Source organism: Homo sapiens, chromosome 1 (genome assembly GCF_000001405.40).
Source record: "Homo sapiens chromosome 1, GRCh38.p14 Primary Assembly".
NCBI lineage: Eukaryota > Metazoa > Chordata > Mammalia > Primates > Hominidae > Homo > Homo sapiens.
In genome coordinates, this window is record NC_000001.11 from 70,640,031 (window position 1) to 70,659,101 (window position 19,071).

Sequence of the window (19,071 nt, forward strand, 5' to 3'; positions counted from 1 at the left end):
TTTACTTGTTGGTCTTAATTTTTTCTTCAAATTTATTAATTTTAAATGTTGTCACTTCATCTTTCTTTCTTTCTTTCTTTTTTTTGACAGAGTCTTGCTCTGTCACCCAGGCTGGAGTGCAGTGGTGTCATCTTGGCTCACTGCAACCTTCACCTCCTGGGTTTAAGCGATTCTTCTTCTTCAGCCTGAGTAGTTGGGATTACAGGCATGCACCATCACATTTGGCTACTTTTTGTATTTTTAGTAGAGATGGGGTTTCACCGTGTTGGCCAGGCTGGTCTTGAACTCCTGACCTCAAGTGAACGGCTTCCCATAGTGCTGGGATTACAGGTGTGAGCCACCTCGTCTGGCCCACTTCACTTTTCTTGAAGGGATGATTACCCTAAGATTCAGGTCCATGGTCTTGAATTGGCATAGGAAGTACCTTTTTCCTGAGATAAAAAGATGCAAGAAGGACGTTTTGGTTTCCAAAGCAGGCTTGGCAGGTCTCTGAGAGAGTAGATAGAAGAGGAAGAGTTAAATCAAGAAAATTGTATGTGATTTTATGGCCCTTTAGTTTTCCAGGGTAATTAGAAAGAAGACAAGAATCAGTGTATTTTGCAAGAAATACATAGGATAATGGCAGTATGATGTTTTCAACCTGTCTCAAAGGTGTACACGTAAAAATCATTTTTAAAATTTCAAATAAACCCCTCCTTCTAGTACAGCATTACAATATCTTTTCCTTTCTCTAGACACAATACTACTGCTACCTATAATTTTTGTCAGTGGTTTAGATAGAACATTTTAGGAGAGATAGGGTAAATCAATTTGACATATCAAATTTCACTCTTTGTCTTGGGGTGGGGGCCCCCCTTCATGCTTATGGGATCCTGCAATCTTCCACTCATCAACAGCAGTGGCCCCCAGGGAGTTGAAAAACACACAAAGTCAAAGTTATAAAAATTGCGGTTTATGTGAAAAAGTTACCATGTCTAAAACACATACACAAATCAAATAGCCACATGTATACATTCATTTGGAGATAATTCCAAAAGTTTAAACTTGAGGCCTCTTATACATGTGAGGCTCAGAGACAGAGCCTCTTATAGCATTCCCCTCATAATAGATTATTTCCTAAAGCATTGAAGGATCAGGATTTTACTCCACACATTGGCACTTGGATCTTTTACCCATGTTTGGATGCATACTAAGATGAGATATTATACATGTCACCTAAAAAAAGGTGAAAACTGTTCTAGGATGATAGATGTGAAGGTGGCTACGCTTGAGCCATAGGCCAATGTAAACTGACTGTACAGGTGAAATAATTGTCATCTTGGGATAGCCCTGATTCCAGAGGTCTGATGTTTAAGTCAGAATCCAATAATCTATCAGTCAGATTGAAACCATCTAAATTATTTGACATAACTATCAGTAGTGTTTTGTATCTTTTATATTTGTGTTTTCCAAAACATTTCACAATTTATTAGACAGATTATCATGGTTTTTATTAGATTTTTAGATATCAAGGAGAAAAGAAGAAGTTAAAATTCTTGAGAAAGGTATAATTTTGGACTGTGTCAAAATCTGGCATGCCTCTCTTTTTTTTTTTGCTTGACTTGAAATAATTTTCAGGACACCAAGGGACAAGTAAAGATTGTTCTACTGTCTTTTTCATGTCCAATAAAACATTAAACAGTATTTAGATATCATCTGCACTACTTCTCAGCCCTCTGTAGTAAGCTTTCTCTAGCTAATACCTGAGAAATTTTAGAATATCCAATATGAAGGGGCAGATAGATATGAATTGGCCTGCAACCCATTATCATGCTTGACTGAACAATGCTTCAAAGGGGATCTGGGGAGTGTTGTATTTTTTCCAAAACTTTCTTGGTAGCTGAAATGCATAGCCATTATCTCTGTTGTGGGCAGTGAGTACTAATTTTCCTTGTCTTTGTTTCTTCCCTCTTTCCTTTAGTTATGGATTCTCCCCAGCCAAGTTTGCAGTGGAGCTAAACACTATTTCTCAAGCTCTCCTTTATCTACATGTGGCCATGTGACCATGTGTGGCCAATAGGATGTGAGAGTGGAACTTCCACATCATATTCTTAAAGAAGGCACTTTTCTTCTACTTCTCTTTCTCCATTTCCATGGGCTGAAACACAGAGAGGGATGGTGGGGAGCCAGCCATGTCCATGCAGGTGAGGGAAATAACCTACAAGAACCTATAACAACAATAAACGGAATGAACAAAAAGAAAGAATGAACCTGAACCTGAAAATAAAAGAACCTGAGTCACGAATGGCTTTGAAAGCAGAAGTCCCATCTTAGATAGATAAATAGAAAGATTGATAATGATGACAATATTGTATCTTGGATCATCTACCAATCTGTGAATTATTCTAAGAAAGAAACATTCCTACTTGTTTTTGTGTTACTATATTTTTGGATCTCTGTTGCTGCAGTTTAGCAGTCACAAAACTAACATAAATATAATTGCAATTTCTTTTCCTCATCTGAGACCCAAGGGAACAGATTTCTTCCCATGCACCTTTCTTACTCTAATAGAAACATTAAAATGGTGAGCGAGTATAATTGTGGACATGAAATCTAATGAAATTTTGTAGTATTGTGTGTTCCCATATCTTCCTTTACTTTTTTTTGCAATATGTATAGATATACTCCTTTTGGGAAAATATATTCAGAGTAAGAGAGTGAATCCACAAACAGAAAATGGCCAGGCCATTTATAAAAATAGAGCTCTTACCCACAACCTGTAGCATCTACCCAAGAAACCAACCCCCTTCTCTACAATAAACAGTCCTGGAAGCCAGCCTGCAATGAACCAGCCTTGTAGGAAGCCAGATTGCTATCTCTAGTAACAATTCAGGAACCTAAACAATAACTTTTGTAATAATTGGCCTAAATTGGCCAGGACCTGATAATTAACTGACAGCTTTTAAAATTTGTGTCCCTACTTTCAATTTAGGACCAACCAGAGAAACCCAAGTATTCAACCCTGGCCAATCATATAGGATGCCTGTTTCTACTTAGCCTACCTTCAGCTTCCCCACCAGCAGCCTTGGCATACCTAAGGTTTTCGATTTCTTCCACTATAAAGCTTTCCCGCTCCTCTGCTTGCTTGCCTTTGAGTCTTTGCCAAAACAAAAGTGATAGTTTTTGATTCCCTTGCTATAGCAAGCCCTGAATAAATAACCTCTTCTTGTTCTCACTGGGTTGGTCTTTATTACCACAAAAGGCTTGCTTACTGAACCATGCTTTAAAAACAATTTTTACAATTAATCCCATTTCTTTCCCAAGAGAACATATTATAGGCCATACTTACAAAAACTCCCTGAAGAGGAATTCCAAGGGTTTTCTAAGTGTTCTTAAAATGACTTCTGGAACTGTGGGATTCTTCTGAGCCCCAATCTGATTACAGCTTCAGCTTCCATGTCTTGAATCAGCAATGATGAGGGTGACCTCTCTGAAATTATAATGGGGACCTTTTGGTTTACTGGTCATGTCCCTAGTGATGCTGACCAGGTCAGCTTTCACTAAAAAATAACTTTAGTTTCACCAAAGCTATGTCTCCTGACTCATAGACTATGTGTACATAGCACCAAGTCAAATGACAATTTGTCATGGGTATGGTTAATCTGATCAATATAGGTGGACAACAGTATAATTCAAAATCGGTATAATGCAAAATAGACTTTGGCCGTCTGATTTTTTGAATTTGGCTCTTTAATTTATCTAACTAGTGACAGATCTCTAGACTTGATACTGTTTGCTAGATTTGATAGTATTAACAGATGACATTTTATTATACTTCGTGTTCCTCTTCCTTTTAAAGAAATTATGATGCTATTGTAAATACCACCATAATCATCATCATCACCATCATCATTCATCACTTACTGATTGATATGCAGATCCAAGGATAGAAACTAATGTTGCTACTATAATGAGGGTAGATGTTTTAATTACAGCTAGATTGAGGTTGAAAAAAATATGAATTTATATAGTAAGGCCTATCTTGCAGTTTCCATTAAATTCATTATTTTTTTCTAGATTTTAGTAGAAAATTATGCACTTAATTGTCCTGAAGTCATTGAGACTAATTTTATAATAGGATTTATTTTCAGCAAAATAAAGAAAATATTTAAGTGAGAGGCCTAGAATCTTTAGTGTAGAAATAATGGCTCAAATTGATTTACTTAATTAATGAATCAAATTAAACAAAAATTATGCAGAAATGGGAAGCATATGAGAACTTTATACTTTCCTATCAATTGTTCAATTTTGCTGTGAATCTAAAACTGCTCTTAGAAATGTTTATTAATTTAAAAAATATGCGAAAATGGAGGCACTCACAGCATCTTTACACAGGATGGTAGAGTCAAGAGTGGATGTAATTGTGGAAGGAAATAACTCATTTGTGTTTCTTGAGGCCAAGGGAAGTGATGATTATAACCTAGGTTGAGATCATGTCTCTAAGATTCATTTTATTGCATCCCAGGAAATATCACAGGGAATTCTAAAGAAATTATTTACAATGAAAAGACATGACTAAACCGAATTTAAGTAAACTGTGGCAAGTTGGAATCACTGCTGAAGTTTTTTCTTGTCTACAGATTATGAAGTCCCTGAATGGTCTTCATTGTCCTGCTATAAAATGTCATTTTGGGCTGGCTATATGATCTCTATTCTAGACATGCAGCTCCCAGCCACCCGCCTCTCTGTGTATGGCCCTCTCCTTTCCTTCTCCCCACCAGTGGTCAGCATTTATAGAAACGCTTATTCTGGTTTGCTTTACTGATATAGAAGCTGTTTTACTTATCACTGAACAAAAAGGCTGATATTATCAAGTAGCTTAAAGCCCCTGACCTCCTTTCTCTTGGGGACCACTTACATTCAATAGAGCGTATAAACAGCCTCTGCAGATTCCCTGCTTCTCTTCATCGTGTATCATAGTCTCTCAAATGATTTCCCTCTTCAAATGGAAGCTGCTGGGGTTGGGGGAAAAACACTGGGAGATTTTTAGAGAAAATGAGATTAGAAGTAAAAATAGGATAGAATCTCTAAAATGCACAAATATTTACAAGTGCTTTTATATTTCACAGATTAAATATTTACTTTATACACATTGTGTGTCATATATTATCTTATGCTTAAAATATCTGCCTCTACATCCTTCTCCCACCATCACTTATGTAACAAATGCTTCATCTGCATAGAACCTGAATTTTTCACTTAATTTATTACAGCAAAAATTAACTATTTATGATTAACTGGGGTTAATATTCATCCTCTTTTAAAATAAATTTGGATAACCCTGGTGTTAAGAGAAGATATCAATTGTTTCAATCTTGCCAACTACTATTAAAAGCCCATTACATATATGAACTCATTTAATCCTTGCAACAAGTACATGAGATTAATGCTGCAATTATCATCCTCATTTTACAGATATGAAATCTGAGGCCCACAGATGTTTGGGATCTTGCCTAAGTTCAGGTGGTAACTTATAGAACTGAATTTAAGCTTAGAGGACTTGCTTTCAATCGCCATGCTACACAGCTTTTCTGAGTCTTTCCTCCAGCAGGCTAAACTAAAGCCTTCAGTACTAATTAGTGGGGTAGTTTGGAAGATAAAGCCTCAGAAGAGAGGAAGTGTGAGAATTAAAGTTTGGATCAGGTGTATAGTAAAGATTAGAAACAGCAGATGGGCACCATGAAGGCTCAAGAAAAGGAGTGCCAAGTGGAAGAAAAGAGGGGCCGGAGAGGAAGTAGACAAAAACTGTTTTAAAAGTTGCCTAAAATTTGTATTCATGATGTATAGGATAGCCCTTCCTCCTGAGGTAGCTCATTTCTTTGCCATGTCTTCCTCTTTTGCTATCCCTGCACCTCATGTTTCCCTTTTCCTGAGGACCCAGAAGGATGCTCATCAGCCTTTTGTGTCTTGCTCTAGGCTACCTGCAGCCTAAACACAAAATTCTCCATGTTGTCCAGTCTAGCTCACCAAGGTACAAAATTTCAGCTTGCATTCAACAGTTCTTTGCCAGCCATTTTTGTCTATGTATAAGTGTCTCAGGGACCTCATGTGTGGTGGTTAATACTGAGTGTCAACTTGATTGAATTGAAGGATACAAACTATTGATCCTGGGTGTGTCTGTGAAGGTGTTGCCAAAAGAGACTAACATTTGAGTTAGTGGGTTGGGGAAGGCAGATCCATCCTTAATCTGGTGGGCACAATCTAATCAGCTCCCAGCGAATATAAAGCAGGCAGAAAAACGTGAAAGGGAGAGACGGGCCTTGCCTCCCAGCCTGCATCTTTCTCCTGTGCTACATGTTTCCTGCCCTCGAACATCCAACCCCAAGTTCTCCAGTTTTGGAACGTGGACTGGCTCTCCTTGCTCCTCAGCTTTCAGACAGCCTATTGTAGCACCTTTGATTGTGTAATATAATACTTAATAAATCCTATATATATCCTATATTATCTTATGCTATATATATATATATGATATATATCTATATATATACACCTAGCTAGGTAGCTAGATATATATATATATATAGAGATAGATAGCTAGATATATAGATATAGATAGATAGCTGGATATATAGATATAGATATCTATACAGATAGCTGGATATATAGATATAGATATCTATACAGATAGCTGGATATATAGATATAGATATCTATACAGATAGCTGGTATATAGATATAGATATCTATACAGATAGCTGGATATATAGATATAGATATCTATACAGATAGCTGGATATATAGATATAGATATCTATACAGATAGCTGGATATATAGATATAGATATCTATACAGATAGCTGGATATATAGATATAGATATCTATACAGATAGCTGGATATATAGATATAGATATCTATACAGATAGCTGGATATATAGATATAGATATCTATACAGATAGCTGGATATATAGATATAGATATCTATACAGATAGCTGGATATATAGATATAGATATCTATACAGATAGCTGGATATATAGATATAGATATCTATACAGATAGCTGGATATATAGATATAGATATCTATACAGATAGCTGGATATATAGATATAGATATCTATATAGATAGCTAGATATAGATATAGATATAGATATCTATATAGATAGCTAGATATAGATATAGATATCGATATAGATATCTATATAGATAGCTAGATATAGATATAGATATCTATATAGATAGCTAGATATATAGATATAGATATCTATATAGATAGCTAGATATATAGATATAGATATCTATATAGATAGCTAGATATATAGATATAGATATCTATATAGATAGCTAGATATATAGATATAGATATCTATATAGATAGCTAGATATATAGATATAGATATCTATATAGATAGCTAGATATATAGATATAGATATCTATATAGATAGCTAGATATATAGATATAGATATCTATATAGATTGCTAGATATATAGATATAGATATCTATATAGATTGCTAGATATATAGATATAGATATCTATATAGATTGCTAGATATATAGATATAGATATCTATATAGATTGCTAGATATATAGATATAGATATCTATATAGATTGCTAGATATATAGATATAGATATCTATATAGATTGCTAGATATATAGATATAGATATCTATATAGATTGCTAGATATATAGATATAGATATCTATATAGATTGCTAGATATATAGATATAGATATCTATATAGATAGCTAGATATATAGATATAGATATCTATATAGATAGCTAGATATATAGATATAGATATCTATATAGATAGCTAGATATATAGATATAGATATATAGACAGCTAGATATTTCTATAGATATATACAGATATATAGATATATACAGATATATAGATATATATAGATATATAGATATATATAGATATATAGATATATATAGATAGCTAGCTATATCTATATATAGATATATCTATATAGCTTTCCTTCTCCCCACCAGTGGTCAGCATTTATAGAAATATATATCTATATTTATATATATATGGATATCTATATAGCTAGACATATATAGATAACTATATAGCTAGATATATAGATATAGATAACTATATAGCTAGATAGCTAGAGATATATAGATATATAATATATAGCCTAAGAGAATAATATATTATGTAATAATAATATATTATATATCTATATAATTATATATTACATATAATATTTAATTATATATTATATACTTATAAATTATATATAATTAAATATTATATATTATATAATTTAATTATATAATTATATATAATTAAATATTACATATTATAAATAAATATATATTATACAATTATTTATAATAGTTAATTATAATTATAATATATAATCTTTATAATTATATAATTATTTATATAATTATATAGTTACTTAGCTAATATAATTATATAATTACTTATTTATATAATATAATTATATAATAATATAGGATATATATATATATCCTATTAGTTCTGTCCCTCTAAGAGAACCCTGACTGAAACATCATGGAAGATGAGTTGACTGGTTGAGGACAGTATTGGAGTTTCTTGGGTCCTCTAGCCAAATTTTAAAAATAATGTCCATTATAACAATTGAGGAGCTTTGCACTTAAACAAACCTGGGTTCAACTTTGGATTTTGCCACTTATTGTGTGATCTTGGACTTGATTTCTCTGAAGGTTAAGTAGATAAAGAAACACCCTACTGAAGAAAGTTATTCAGATCCTGTAGAGAGAAAACTCTTCATCTTGTATCCCTCTTTTGTCTTTACATTCTCTTCTCTTTTTCCTTTAATCTTTCTGTGTGTCATGTATCCTTGTTTCCCAGGATCCAGATCCAGAAGCATGCTCTTTAGCTTGTACCTTCATCTGTAAAATAACCTCATGGAATTATTATGGCTAAATCATGCAGTAGATATGCCTAGCAGCTAGTAAGTGCTCAAGAAATGGCAGCTTCTATCATGACTATATATAAAATTAATGTAACATTTATATAAAAATAACAATGTAGCTATAATAATGATATATATTAATCATCACAAAAATCAAACTAAACAAATATAAATATAATCTGTAAATACAAGACACTGTAACTTACAATAATCACTTTCTGTAAATCTTCGTTGTTTCTGTTATTGACTTGAAAAAGAGTTTCATATATAAATCATTTTTAAGCCTTAAAAATCCTCTGTTGTTTTAACTTCGGAAGGAAGAGAGCAGGGACTTGCCAAGACACAGATCAGGTGAGTATTTTTGAGGGGAAGGAGAGGGGCTCTGCTGTGGTGACCCCTGTGCCACCACGGGGCAGCAACAGGTGCTCTGATAAGTGCAGAAGCCAACTGGATTCAGAAAGGAAAGGTGATTATTGTGCCTACTGCACAAATGGATTAAAGATTGATCCTCGTTTCATACTATTATTGCCTGGGGATTTCACAGCTGTGACCCTCTGTGAGCGATGGCTGGGATTTAGAGATTAACAAACCATTGCCTCATTCCAATCATTAATTTACAATTATGTATAAATTGTGGTGTGGAAAAACTTTCTTGAACAAAACTCCTATTCTGCTTTTTATTGATCACATCTCTTCCTTAAAATAACAACATTGTCAGGTGTAAAGCAGTAAATATTTTTAATTACTTGGTCCCGAGGCAGGATAAATGTCTTTCTGAAAACACACAAGTAAAGCCGCAAACATTCTTCAGACTCAGGAAAAGCCAAGTTTGATAGGCAGTGCTTGTGTTGTCGAAAGACTAAGAGTAGCGATGACAAATGACCTTCAGAAATATCCTTTCTTGCTGTTAATAGGATATGGTCATTTGTGCTTTTTACATGTGGAAAATGGTTCTTGGAGGATTGATTTCCCGTCTGGCCCAGTTCCAAGCCAACAGAGGCTGCCATTGCACCTAAATATTCCTCAATTCTGGTCTCTGCCCTGCTAACTTTAATTTGTTACTGTGCAATTGATGGTTCCCTGTAATGTACCCAAGGTCTGATAGTGTTTTCTAGTTGATCAAATGCTTGATAACTTGGAAGGATTTTTTGTTATAGCCAGATGGCAGGCAGGATATTTCAACCTCCCCCGGCAGCAAGGTGTTAAATGGCCTTATCATGGATGAATGGAAGTAGGTATTGCATGGATTTTCTGTTTCCTAAGAAAAGGCGACAATATTGCTAATTAGGCAGTATATTGGCAGTGCTTCTTGGAAGGAGGTAGATTATACACATTAAGGTTATCAACACTATGATTTTTCATCAAATATTAGGGCATAATAGGAGTGCAAACTTTAACGTCAAGTTTACAGCAACTCAGTGTTTATAAGCTGCTATTATTAGTGAAGGTTATTCACTTGTCCTTGATGCATGGGAAAGATAAAACCAGTTATTAGTTAGTTACTCCAGTAATAGTGACTCTTAGAGCTTGTCAACATGAACAGAAGTAGCACCATTCCTATCTTCCTGGGAGAGAAACTGCTAAACAAACATCTAACACTGCAGTGTAAAGTATAATGTCAGTTCTATTTACATTGAAGCCATTTAAATTGCAATATGCACATTTTGAATCTTTAAAAATCTATTTCTGATGAAAACATATCTTCATTAACCACCATGAAAATAAGCAAATATATTTATATATGGCCATATTTAAAAGGCATGGGATGGCAGGTCTAATGCATATAGTAATTTAACATGTGAGGGGCTTGGTGGTTCCGTACATTAGGGTAGTTCATTGTGCTGGATAAAAACAACTTCCTAGTAAAACAACTTTACGTTCTAATAAGTCAACTTTCTACTAAAACAACTTTTGCCAAGTCCTTCCCATTACTTGGCATGTCACATCAGTATCAGAACTGCAGTTGATATAAACTTTGCGAAGAAGAAAAAATTTCACTCAATTCTTCAAGGATTCAGGTGATGGTTGAAAACAAGATAGAGGACATAAAAAAGAATTTGGGCTTCAATCAGCAAGAATTTTAAGTAATTCTGGGGTAAAATGTCTGTTTTAACTAATTTAGGAAAGCTGAATTTATATAGACTACATAGAGAAAAAGCAGCTTTTTGTCTCTCTCCAATGAGTGACTATATTTATTTCTATTTTAGGGTTGTTAGTAATATATTAACAGATTTAAACAGAGATGATGGTAAAGAATGCAATAAGACTTGTATATATGGGAAAAATTTAATCATATTTTCCCCACCCTCTCCAAAACATAGATTAACTGGACTTTGAAACATGAGATTAGGAAGAAACTATTTGGCACACTCCAAGTTTAGATGTGAAAATTTCTCTTGTATTTATTATTAAAGAAGAACTGGCAAACCAAGCATTTCATTGCAGCCTTATGTGCAAAAATTCCGTACATTACATTTTCTCCACTAGCTTTTTACCTTACATAAGTTGTTGAAATTTCTTAAACCCCAGTTTCCTTACCTGTAAAATGAGGGTGTTTGACTTCTGATGTCTATTGTCTTTTTTATGTGCCCTCCATAAATATTTTTCTTCATTTCTATCTCTTAGGGCATTTATTCATTTTTTAAAAGAAAATAATTCAGAGCTATTTTTTGGTTAACTTAGAGAACTGAAGGATGAGGAAAATATAAATTCAATTTATGCAGAGATATGTAACTGACATCTTTGTAACAAATCAAAGCCTAACAGTTTATGAGATATGCTATGTTTCCTCTTCTGATATATGGTATACAATTATGGACTGTTCTAGGAAGACAAAAGAGAAGAATTAGAGGCAAACTAAGGGCATTTTATTTCTCAGGAACACTATGGAAAAGGAAAAACTAAAAGGGAGACTAAAATAGTTGGAGAAAATTTCTAAAGAATATTGCAAGATATCGTGAATTTTTAAATTGTTTACTAAAAATTGGATCCTGAACAAAAACTAAATTTTGGAAAATAACCCTGAAAGACAGATTCTGCATTTACACAAAAGCCAATTCAAAAATTGTTATAGAAATGCATAAATTGTAAAGAGGTTTCAGATTAGGGAACGTTTGCCACAGTCTTTTCTACAGCCACCACAATTTACATCCTACAGGCAGAATATACTCACCTCATACACAAATATACACAATATAGGGGAAAACTGGAACCTGGACAATATGGTTTAGGGGGCATATATACTATGAAAATGCAAGCACCAATATAAAAGAAAGAATGAAAACGTAGAGCTGATAATTTAATTATGCATAGGTATATGGTGTACCAGCTGATTCACTGTATATCAGTTCTGATTATTCAATTTATTTGCCATGCCAACTATTAAATATTTTGAATGTAATTCCTATGAGCAAGTGTGTTTATGAAAGTATTGTTTGTAGTGGTGAACTCCTTTCCCACTACTATCTGTTACACGCACACATACACACCCCACATACACATACACAGGAAACTGCAAAAAAAGTAAAAAAATCTATCAATAACCAGGTAGTTGAATACTTCTGTTTTACTCATATTATGGAATATTAGATCACCATTGAAAACAGTGAATTAGATCTATATTTGCTATCTTTGATGGATATCCAGGATACATAGTTAAGGGACAAAAGCAAGTTAGAGATCAAGTATGAACTATGTTATATAAAAAATAAAAAAAGTATTGTGCTGTTTGAGCATGGAGAATTTTGTGATGAAATACACCACACTATTAACATGGCTAATCTCAGGAGGTGAGATTGGAAGGAGAATAAAGAAAAGATTATTATCTTTATATATTTTTGCATTGTTTACTTGTTTCAGCAAATTTAGGTAACTTTTGTAAAAAAAAAAATTGAATGAAGTGAATTTTGAAGGTAAAAAGTAATATGTTCAATTTGATTGTTGCCTGGTGGGAATAAGGGAGAATAAGAAAGAGATTATTTTTTCTTTAAATGTCTTTGTATTTTTTTCATGTTTTAAAATAAGCATTGATCATTTTATTATTAAAAGTTTTCTTATGAAAATAACTTAAATATAAAAGTTTAAGATGCTGTTTTCTTCTTGAAAATAATTAACCTGTATTCAACCATAGAATAATGAATTCTTAATTCACTTATTATGTTAAAATTCCTAGTAAAAAGTTGCTTCTTATAGAAAGAAGTCACAGCATAAGACTGTTACAGAGAAATGAAGAGGAAGAGAAAGATGAGAAAAATATTTCTATAAGCAAAATAGTAAACAATATTTGAGAAGAGATCCCTAGTATTTGGCATAAATAGTAAATAGAGTTTCAGGATTTTTTTTTCTTTCTGAAAGACTCTTAAAACAGCTTGAAACTAAGAGATTTTCTTGTCCAGAGCAAGTGTATAGCAGGTCAGACATTCAGTTCAAATCAGTTGGTATAGAGTTATGCATGCGGTGGGCTTTGAGACTTCTATGAAGAAGGTGGCAAAAATTAGTCATGTTGCACGGTATGCTGATACACTGTAATATCCAGTATGTCGGGACAAAAAAATCAAGTAAAAAATACATATACCAAAGAGTATGAGTTTAGAGGATGCAATAAATACTCTGAGCTAGGGTTAATTTATCTAACCACACAATCCCAAAACCTCAGTGACTTAACACATTAAAGACCTATTTTGTGGCCTGGCGCAGTGTCTCATGCCTGTAATCCCAGCACTTTGGGAGGCCCAGGTGGGCGGATCACGAGGTCGGGAGATAGAGACCATCCTGGCTAACACGGTGAAACCCTGTCTCTACTAAAAAAATACAAAAAATTAGCCGGGCATGGTGGCATGCGCCTGTAGTGCCAGCTACTCGGGAGGCTGAGGCGGGAGAATTGCTTGAACCCGGGAGGCGGAGGTTGCAGTGAGCCGAGATTGCGCCGCTGCACTCCAGCCTGGGCAACAGAGCGAGACTCTGTCTCAAAAAAAAAAAAAAAAAAAAAAAGACTTATTTTGTGCTCATTCACAGTTCAGTGTGGATCACTGGAAGGAGTCTATTTTCACAGGTCACCTCCGTCTCATGGTACTGCCATCTTCAATATCTCAGATCAGTATAGAATGGGAAAAGTGAGAGTGGAGCTTTGACTGTGGAATATTTTTATGGGTCAGATTTGGAAGCAGCATAGATCACTTTTATTCACATTCAGTTTTCCCAGAACTTAGTTACATGGTGCCAACCTACCAGCAAAGAGGCCAAAGAATGCTACTTAGCTGTGTGCCCAAGAAGAAGAGGAAAGAAGGGGTATTGGTGAGCAGTGGTAAGCTCTGCCACAGAGAGCCTGTTGAGGGACGACTCCCTGACTCACCACACATATGACCAGCATCTTCAGAGATGGTATGTGTGCAGATTTAATCCTCCAGAGGAAATAAATTAACTACATGTTCATTTAAAAATGGACCCCTTCCTTACACCTTATACAAAAATTAATTCAAGATGGATTAAAGACTTAAATGTAAAACCTAAAACCATAAAAACCCTAGAAGAAAACCTAGGCAATACCATTCAGGACATAGGCATGGGCAAAGACTTCATGTCTAAAACACCAAAAGCAATGGCAACAAAAGCCAAAATTGACAACTGGGATATAATTAAACTAAAGAGCTTCTGCACAGCAAAAGAAACTATCATCAGAGTGAACAGGCAACCTACAGAATGGGAGAACATTTTTGCAATCTGTCCATCTGACAAAGGGCTAATATCCAGAATCTACAAAGAACTTAAACAAATTTACAAGAAAAAAAAACCCATCAAAAAGTGGGTGAAGGATATGAACAGACACTTCTCAAAAGAAGATATTTATGCAGCAAACAAACATATGAAAAAAAGTTCATCGTCACTGGTCATTAGAGAAATGCAAATCAAAACCACAATGAGATACTATCTTACATCAGTTAGAATGGCGATCATTAAAAAGTCAGGAAACAACAGATGCTGGAGAAGATGTGGAGAAATAGGAACACTTTTACTCTATTGGTGGGAGTGTAAATTAGTTCAACCATTGTGAAAGACAGTGTGGCGATTCCTCAAGGATCTGGAACCAGAAATACCATTTGACCCAGAAATCTCATTACTGGATATATACCCAAAGGATTATACATCATTCTACTATAAAGACACGTGCACATGTATGTTTATTGTGGCACTATTCACAATAGCAAAGACTTGGAACCAACCCAAATACCCATCAATGATAGACTGGATAAAGAAAATGTGGCACATATACACCATGGAATACTATGCAGCCATAAAAAGGATGAGCTTATTTCCTTTGCAGGGACATGGATGAAGTTGGAAACCATCATTCTCAGCAAACTAACACAAGAACAGAAAACCAAACACCACATGTTCTCACTCATAAGTGGGTGTTGAACAATGGGAACACATGGACATGGGGAGGGGAACATCACACACCAGGGCCTGTTGGGGAGTGGGGGGCTAGGGGAGGGATAACATTAGGAGAAATACCTAATATAGATGATGGGTTGATGGATGCAGCAAACCACTTTGGCATGTGTATACCTGTGTAACAAACCTGCATGTTCTGCACATGTATCCCAGAACATAAAGTATAATAAATTAAAAAAAATGCTTAATATGTAGAGAGGGAAGAGATATGCTAGGACTGGAAAGTTGGGAATCTTGTAAATGAAAAAAAGTGAATTCCAGTTTATTATAGACCTCTGAATACAGCTTACATGGCAGTCTTATAAAACCACTTGTAGTTCCACAAAATCAGTTTTTCTTAGCTGCTGTGTCATCTGATTGCCTTCCTTCTGCTTACATTTTCAAGACTCAACTCATGGATTATCTGTCTCCTTTTGAGATTTTACTAATTCAGTCTGGGCTGGGTGATACTTCTCTGTGCTCTCATTACACACTAGGCATTACTCTCCCTCTTTCATTGCACACTGCACTGTATTATAACTGTTTCATCCATTACAATCATTTATTTTTTTCAAGTATTTTTGATCCACATTTGGTCGAATCCACAGATGTGCAACCACAGATACAGAGGGCTGACATCTATCTATCTATCTATCTATCTATCTATCTATCTATCTATCTATCATCTATCATCTATCTGTCTGTCAATCTATCTTCTTCATCATCATCATCATCTATCTATATTTCACATATTTAAAATTCAGTAATTAATATAAAATAGTTTTATGCTTCTTGGTGATTAGATGTCTAGGAACCAAATGTTCTAAGCTTAAAAATAAATATGCTTTTTTGATGACTTTGTGCACATTTGTGGTGTGTATCCATGGGAAGGAAGATGGGTGGAGACGAAGTAGCAGGAAGGAAGAAAACTGGGAAAGGGAGGGAGAAACAAAAAGAAGCATATGTGCTTGTTTATGTGCGTTTGGGTGCAAAAATATTTTTATTTCAACTCTGATACTTTTTCTCATATGATATGCTAGGTAAACATATTTTGGGAAACTTGCCGAAAGTGTATTCTCTTTGGTATTATGAAAATACACTATTATTTTCCACCTGTAAAATTATATCTGAATTGAGACTTAGCTACATCTGATTTTGATTAGTCTGTTGCACAAATAGAATCAGATGGCTTTACTTGGGAATGACTCATCAGTCCTTCATCCTCCTCTGTTAATGTTCTCCAAATTTAATAGCAGCATTATATAATCTATCATATGGGTAATATTACCAGACAGTTTTAGAAGAGGACACTTGATGTACTCTGGATACGCAGACAAGTATATTTTGCTATTTGAGTGCCAAAGGGGTATTCTAATTATCTTGGGTGACAATGTAACTCATTATATTTCTTTACAAGGACAGAGAAAAGAATCAATACAAAGAGCCTGTCTAAATTGTCTTCACACTCCAAAGTGTACCAGTTACAGAAGAAGCCAGCAACTTCAAATGAAGTATCCTATATCTCTGAACTCCATTAGTACTTATTAACTATTGTACTCGTTTGTTATTTTTAACCTTCTGTCCTGGATTGTTGTTTCACTCTCCAAGCACAAGATAAACTTCCCCAGTGCATCTGTAAACTTCTTATAGACAAGGACAATTATTATTATCTTATTTTTAGAATTAAGATTATTGGAAATTAACACTGATCATTCAAATTTCAAGTTATTTTGGAAACTTTACATTCAAAAACTTTTTATGCCTTCTTACATATTTCCCTATAACCAACAGAAGCATTCAAAGTTAAGTTTTGAAAGTTGGAGTCATTTATTAAAAAACAAAAAAATGCACATTAACTAGTCTCAATAATTTAAAGCTTCACAATTAATTTTATATTTGAGGATTTCTTTGTACCTCTAGCACTTTCCAAATTTAAACTAAGTGCTCAGAGTTTTATGTACAATTATCTTGGATATGACTTTACCTAAGCTTATGTTTCTCACCAACTGGAGTACTAATATCCCCTGGGAAAACTTGAGTTTGTAGCAGGGATACTTAAATGCAATAAAATAAATATGATAAATAATTTTTCTAAAAAGTGCCAATTAACTCAAGAGAAATAAATCTTAGGTTCACACAAAAACCCATATGGAAATATTTACAGTGACTGTATTTATAATCACCAAAGACTGTGAACAACTCAACTGATTAATGGATATTCAACTTTGGTACATCCGCAAAATGGAACACTGCTCAGTGATAAAAGGAAAAAAATGATTGATTCATGCAACAATATGGAAGAATCTCAAATGTCTTATGTTAGTGAAATAAGCCAAGCTCAAAAGGCTTAATAGTGTATAAGCCCAATTATATGACATTGTGGGAAAAGACAAACTACAAGTACAGAGAACAGATCAGTTGTTGCCAGGAGCTGGGTGGGAAGGGGTTGACTATACAAAGAGGCATTTTTGGGGTGACGGATTGTTGTATATATTGATTGTGGTGTGGTTACATGACACTATACATTTGTCAATACTCATAGAATGTACACCAAAAGAGTAAATTTTACTATATTACATTTAAAAAATTATATGACAAGAAGCCTATGATGGCAAGATGTTATAAAATTTGTGCTTTCAGTATAGTAATTTGTTACATTTTCTGAAGTAATTTATCTATGTATTTCCAGATTTCCTTCCTTCCTTTCTCCTTCCTTCCTTCCTTCCTTCCTTCTTCTTTCTTTCTTTCCTTCTTTCTTTCATTCTTCTTTCTTTCTTTTTGTGTCTTACTCTGTTGCCCAGGCTGGAGTGCAGTGGCACGATCTCCGCTCACTGCAACCTCTGCCTCCTGGGTTCATGCAATTCTCCTGCCTCAGCCTCCCGAGTAGCTGGGATTACAGGCACATGACATCACGCTTAGCTAATTTTCATACTTTTAGTAGAGATGGGGTTTCGCCATGTTGGCCAGGCTGGTCTCGAACTCCTGACCTCAGGTGATCTGCCGCTTCGGCCTCCCCAAGTGCTGGGATTACAGGCATGAGCCACTGCCCTGGGTCTCCAGATTTTCATTCAATTATTCCATACTGAAAAATGTATCCTAAGAAAATCATAACAATATGAAAAACCTAAATACATAGTGATGTTCATTACCTTTTTAATTGATGAAAATGCTGCCTTATTGCTTTTACTTGCATTTCTGTATTTGCTAGCAAAATTTTATATTTTTCTTATGTTTGTTAGACAGTTTTATGAGAAAGAGTAAGATTAATATCCTCCAGTGGTTGAAGAGTAGCAGATCTTCTGTTCTCTTCTCAACAAACATACAGAGCCATTCATTTCTGTGAAATAATTACAGATAGCCTGGGATTTAGTAAAATTTTTACTGTTGTTGTAGAAAAATAAACACATTGACATAAAAAATACGATTGCTAGTCAGGCTATTTAGTAAGATTTGGGTTTAAGAGTCTTTAGAACATTTTTATCGTTGAAAATTTGTCCTCAAATTTTAACTTTTCTAATTCAGTCAGAACTCTTGAATTTCATATGTTTAATATAAGAATATGGGAAATGAAAACCACAAGTTTTGTGCATTCATTTTCCTTGGGAGCTTACAATTTTGAACTCAACCCAAACTTTTCATTCTTTTGCATTCATTTAATTTTGGCAAAAGGTGCCTTTTCGTTCATGAAGCTTTTAAACTGTCCATTAGATACTGCAAAACAACATTTTGAAGAATGA

At 34.3% G+C, this 19,071-nt stretch overlaps 1 long non-coding RNA gene across 2 annotated transcripts; it reads right to left on the bottom strand.

The window, feature by feature from the left end:
• Window positions 1-329: 329 nt before the first annotated feature.
• Window positions 330-8,864, bottom strand: LOC105378794 (uncharacterized). 2 transcript variants are annotated; one of them, XR_947500.2, is made up of 4 exons: window positions 8,634-8,864; window positions 4,898-5,014; window positions 3,329-3,469; window positions 330-489 (listed from the first exon to the last, which is right to left on the bottom strand). It is a non-coding gene; the product is annotated as an uncharacterized LOC105378794 (long non-coding RNA). The 2 variants fall into 2 exon arrangements; XR_947501.2 differs by lacking the exon at window positions 330-489 and adding an exon at window positions 2,114-2,207.
• Window positions 8,865-19,071: the final 10,207 nt, after the last annotated feature.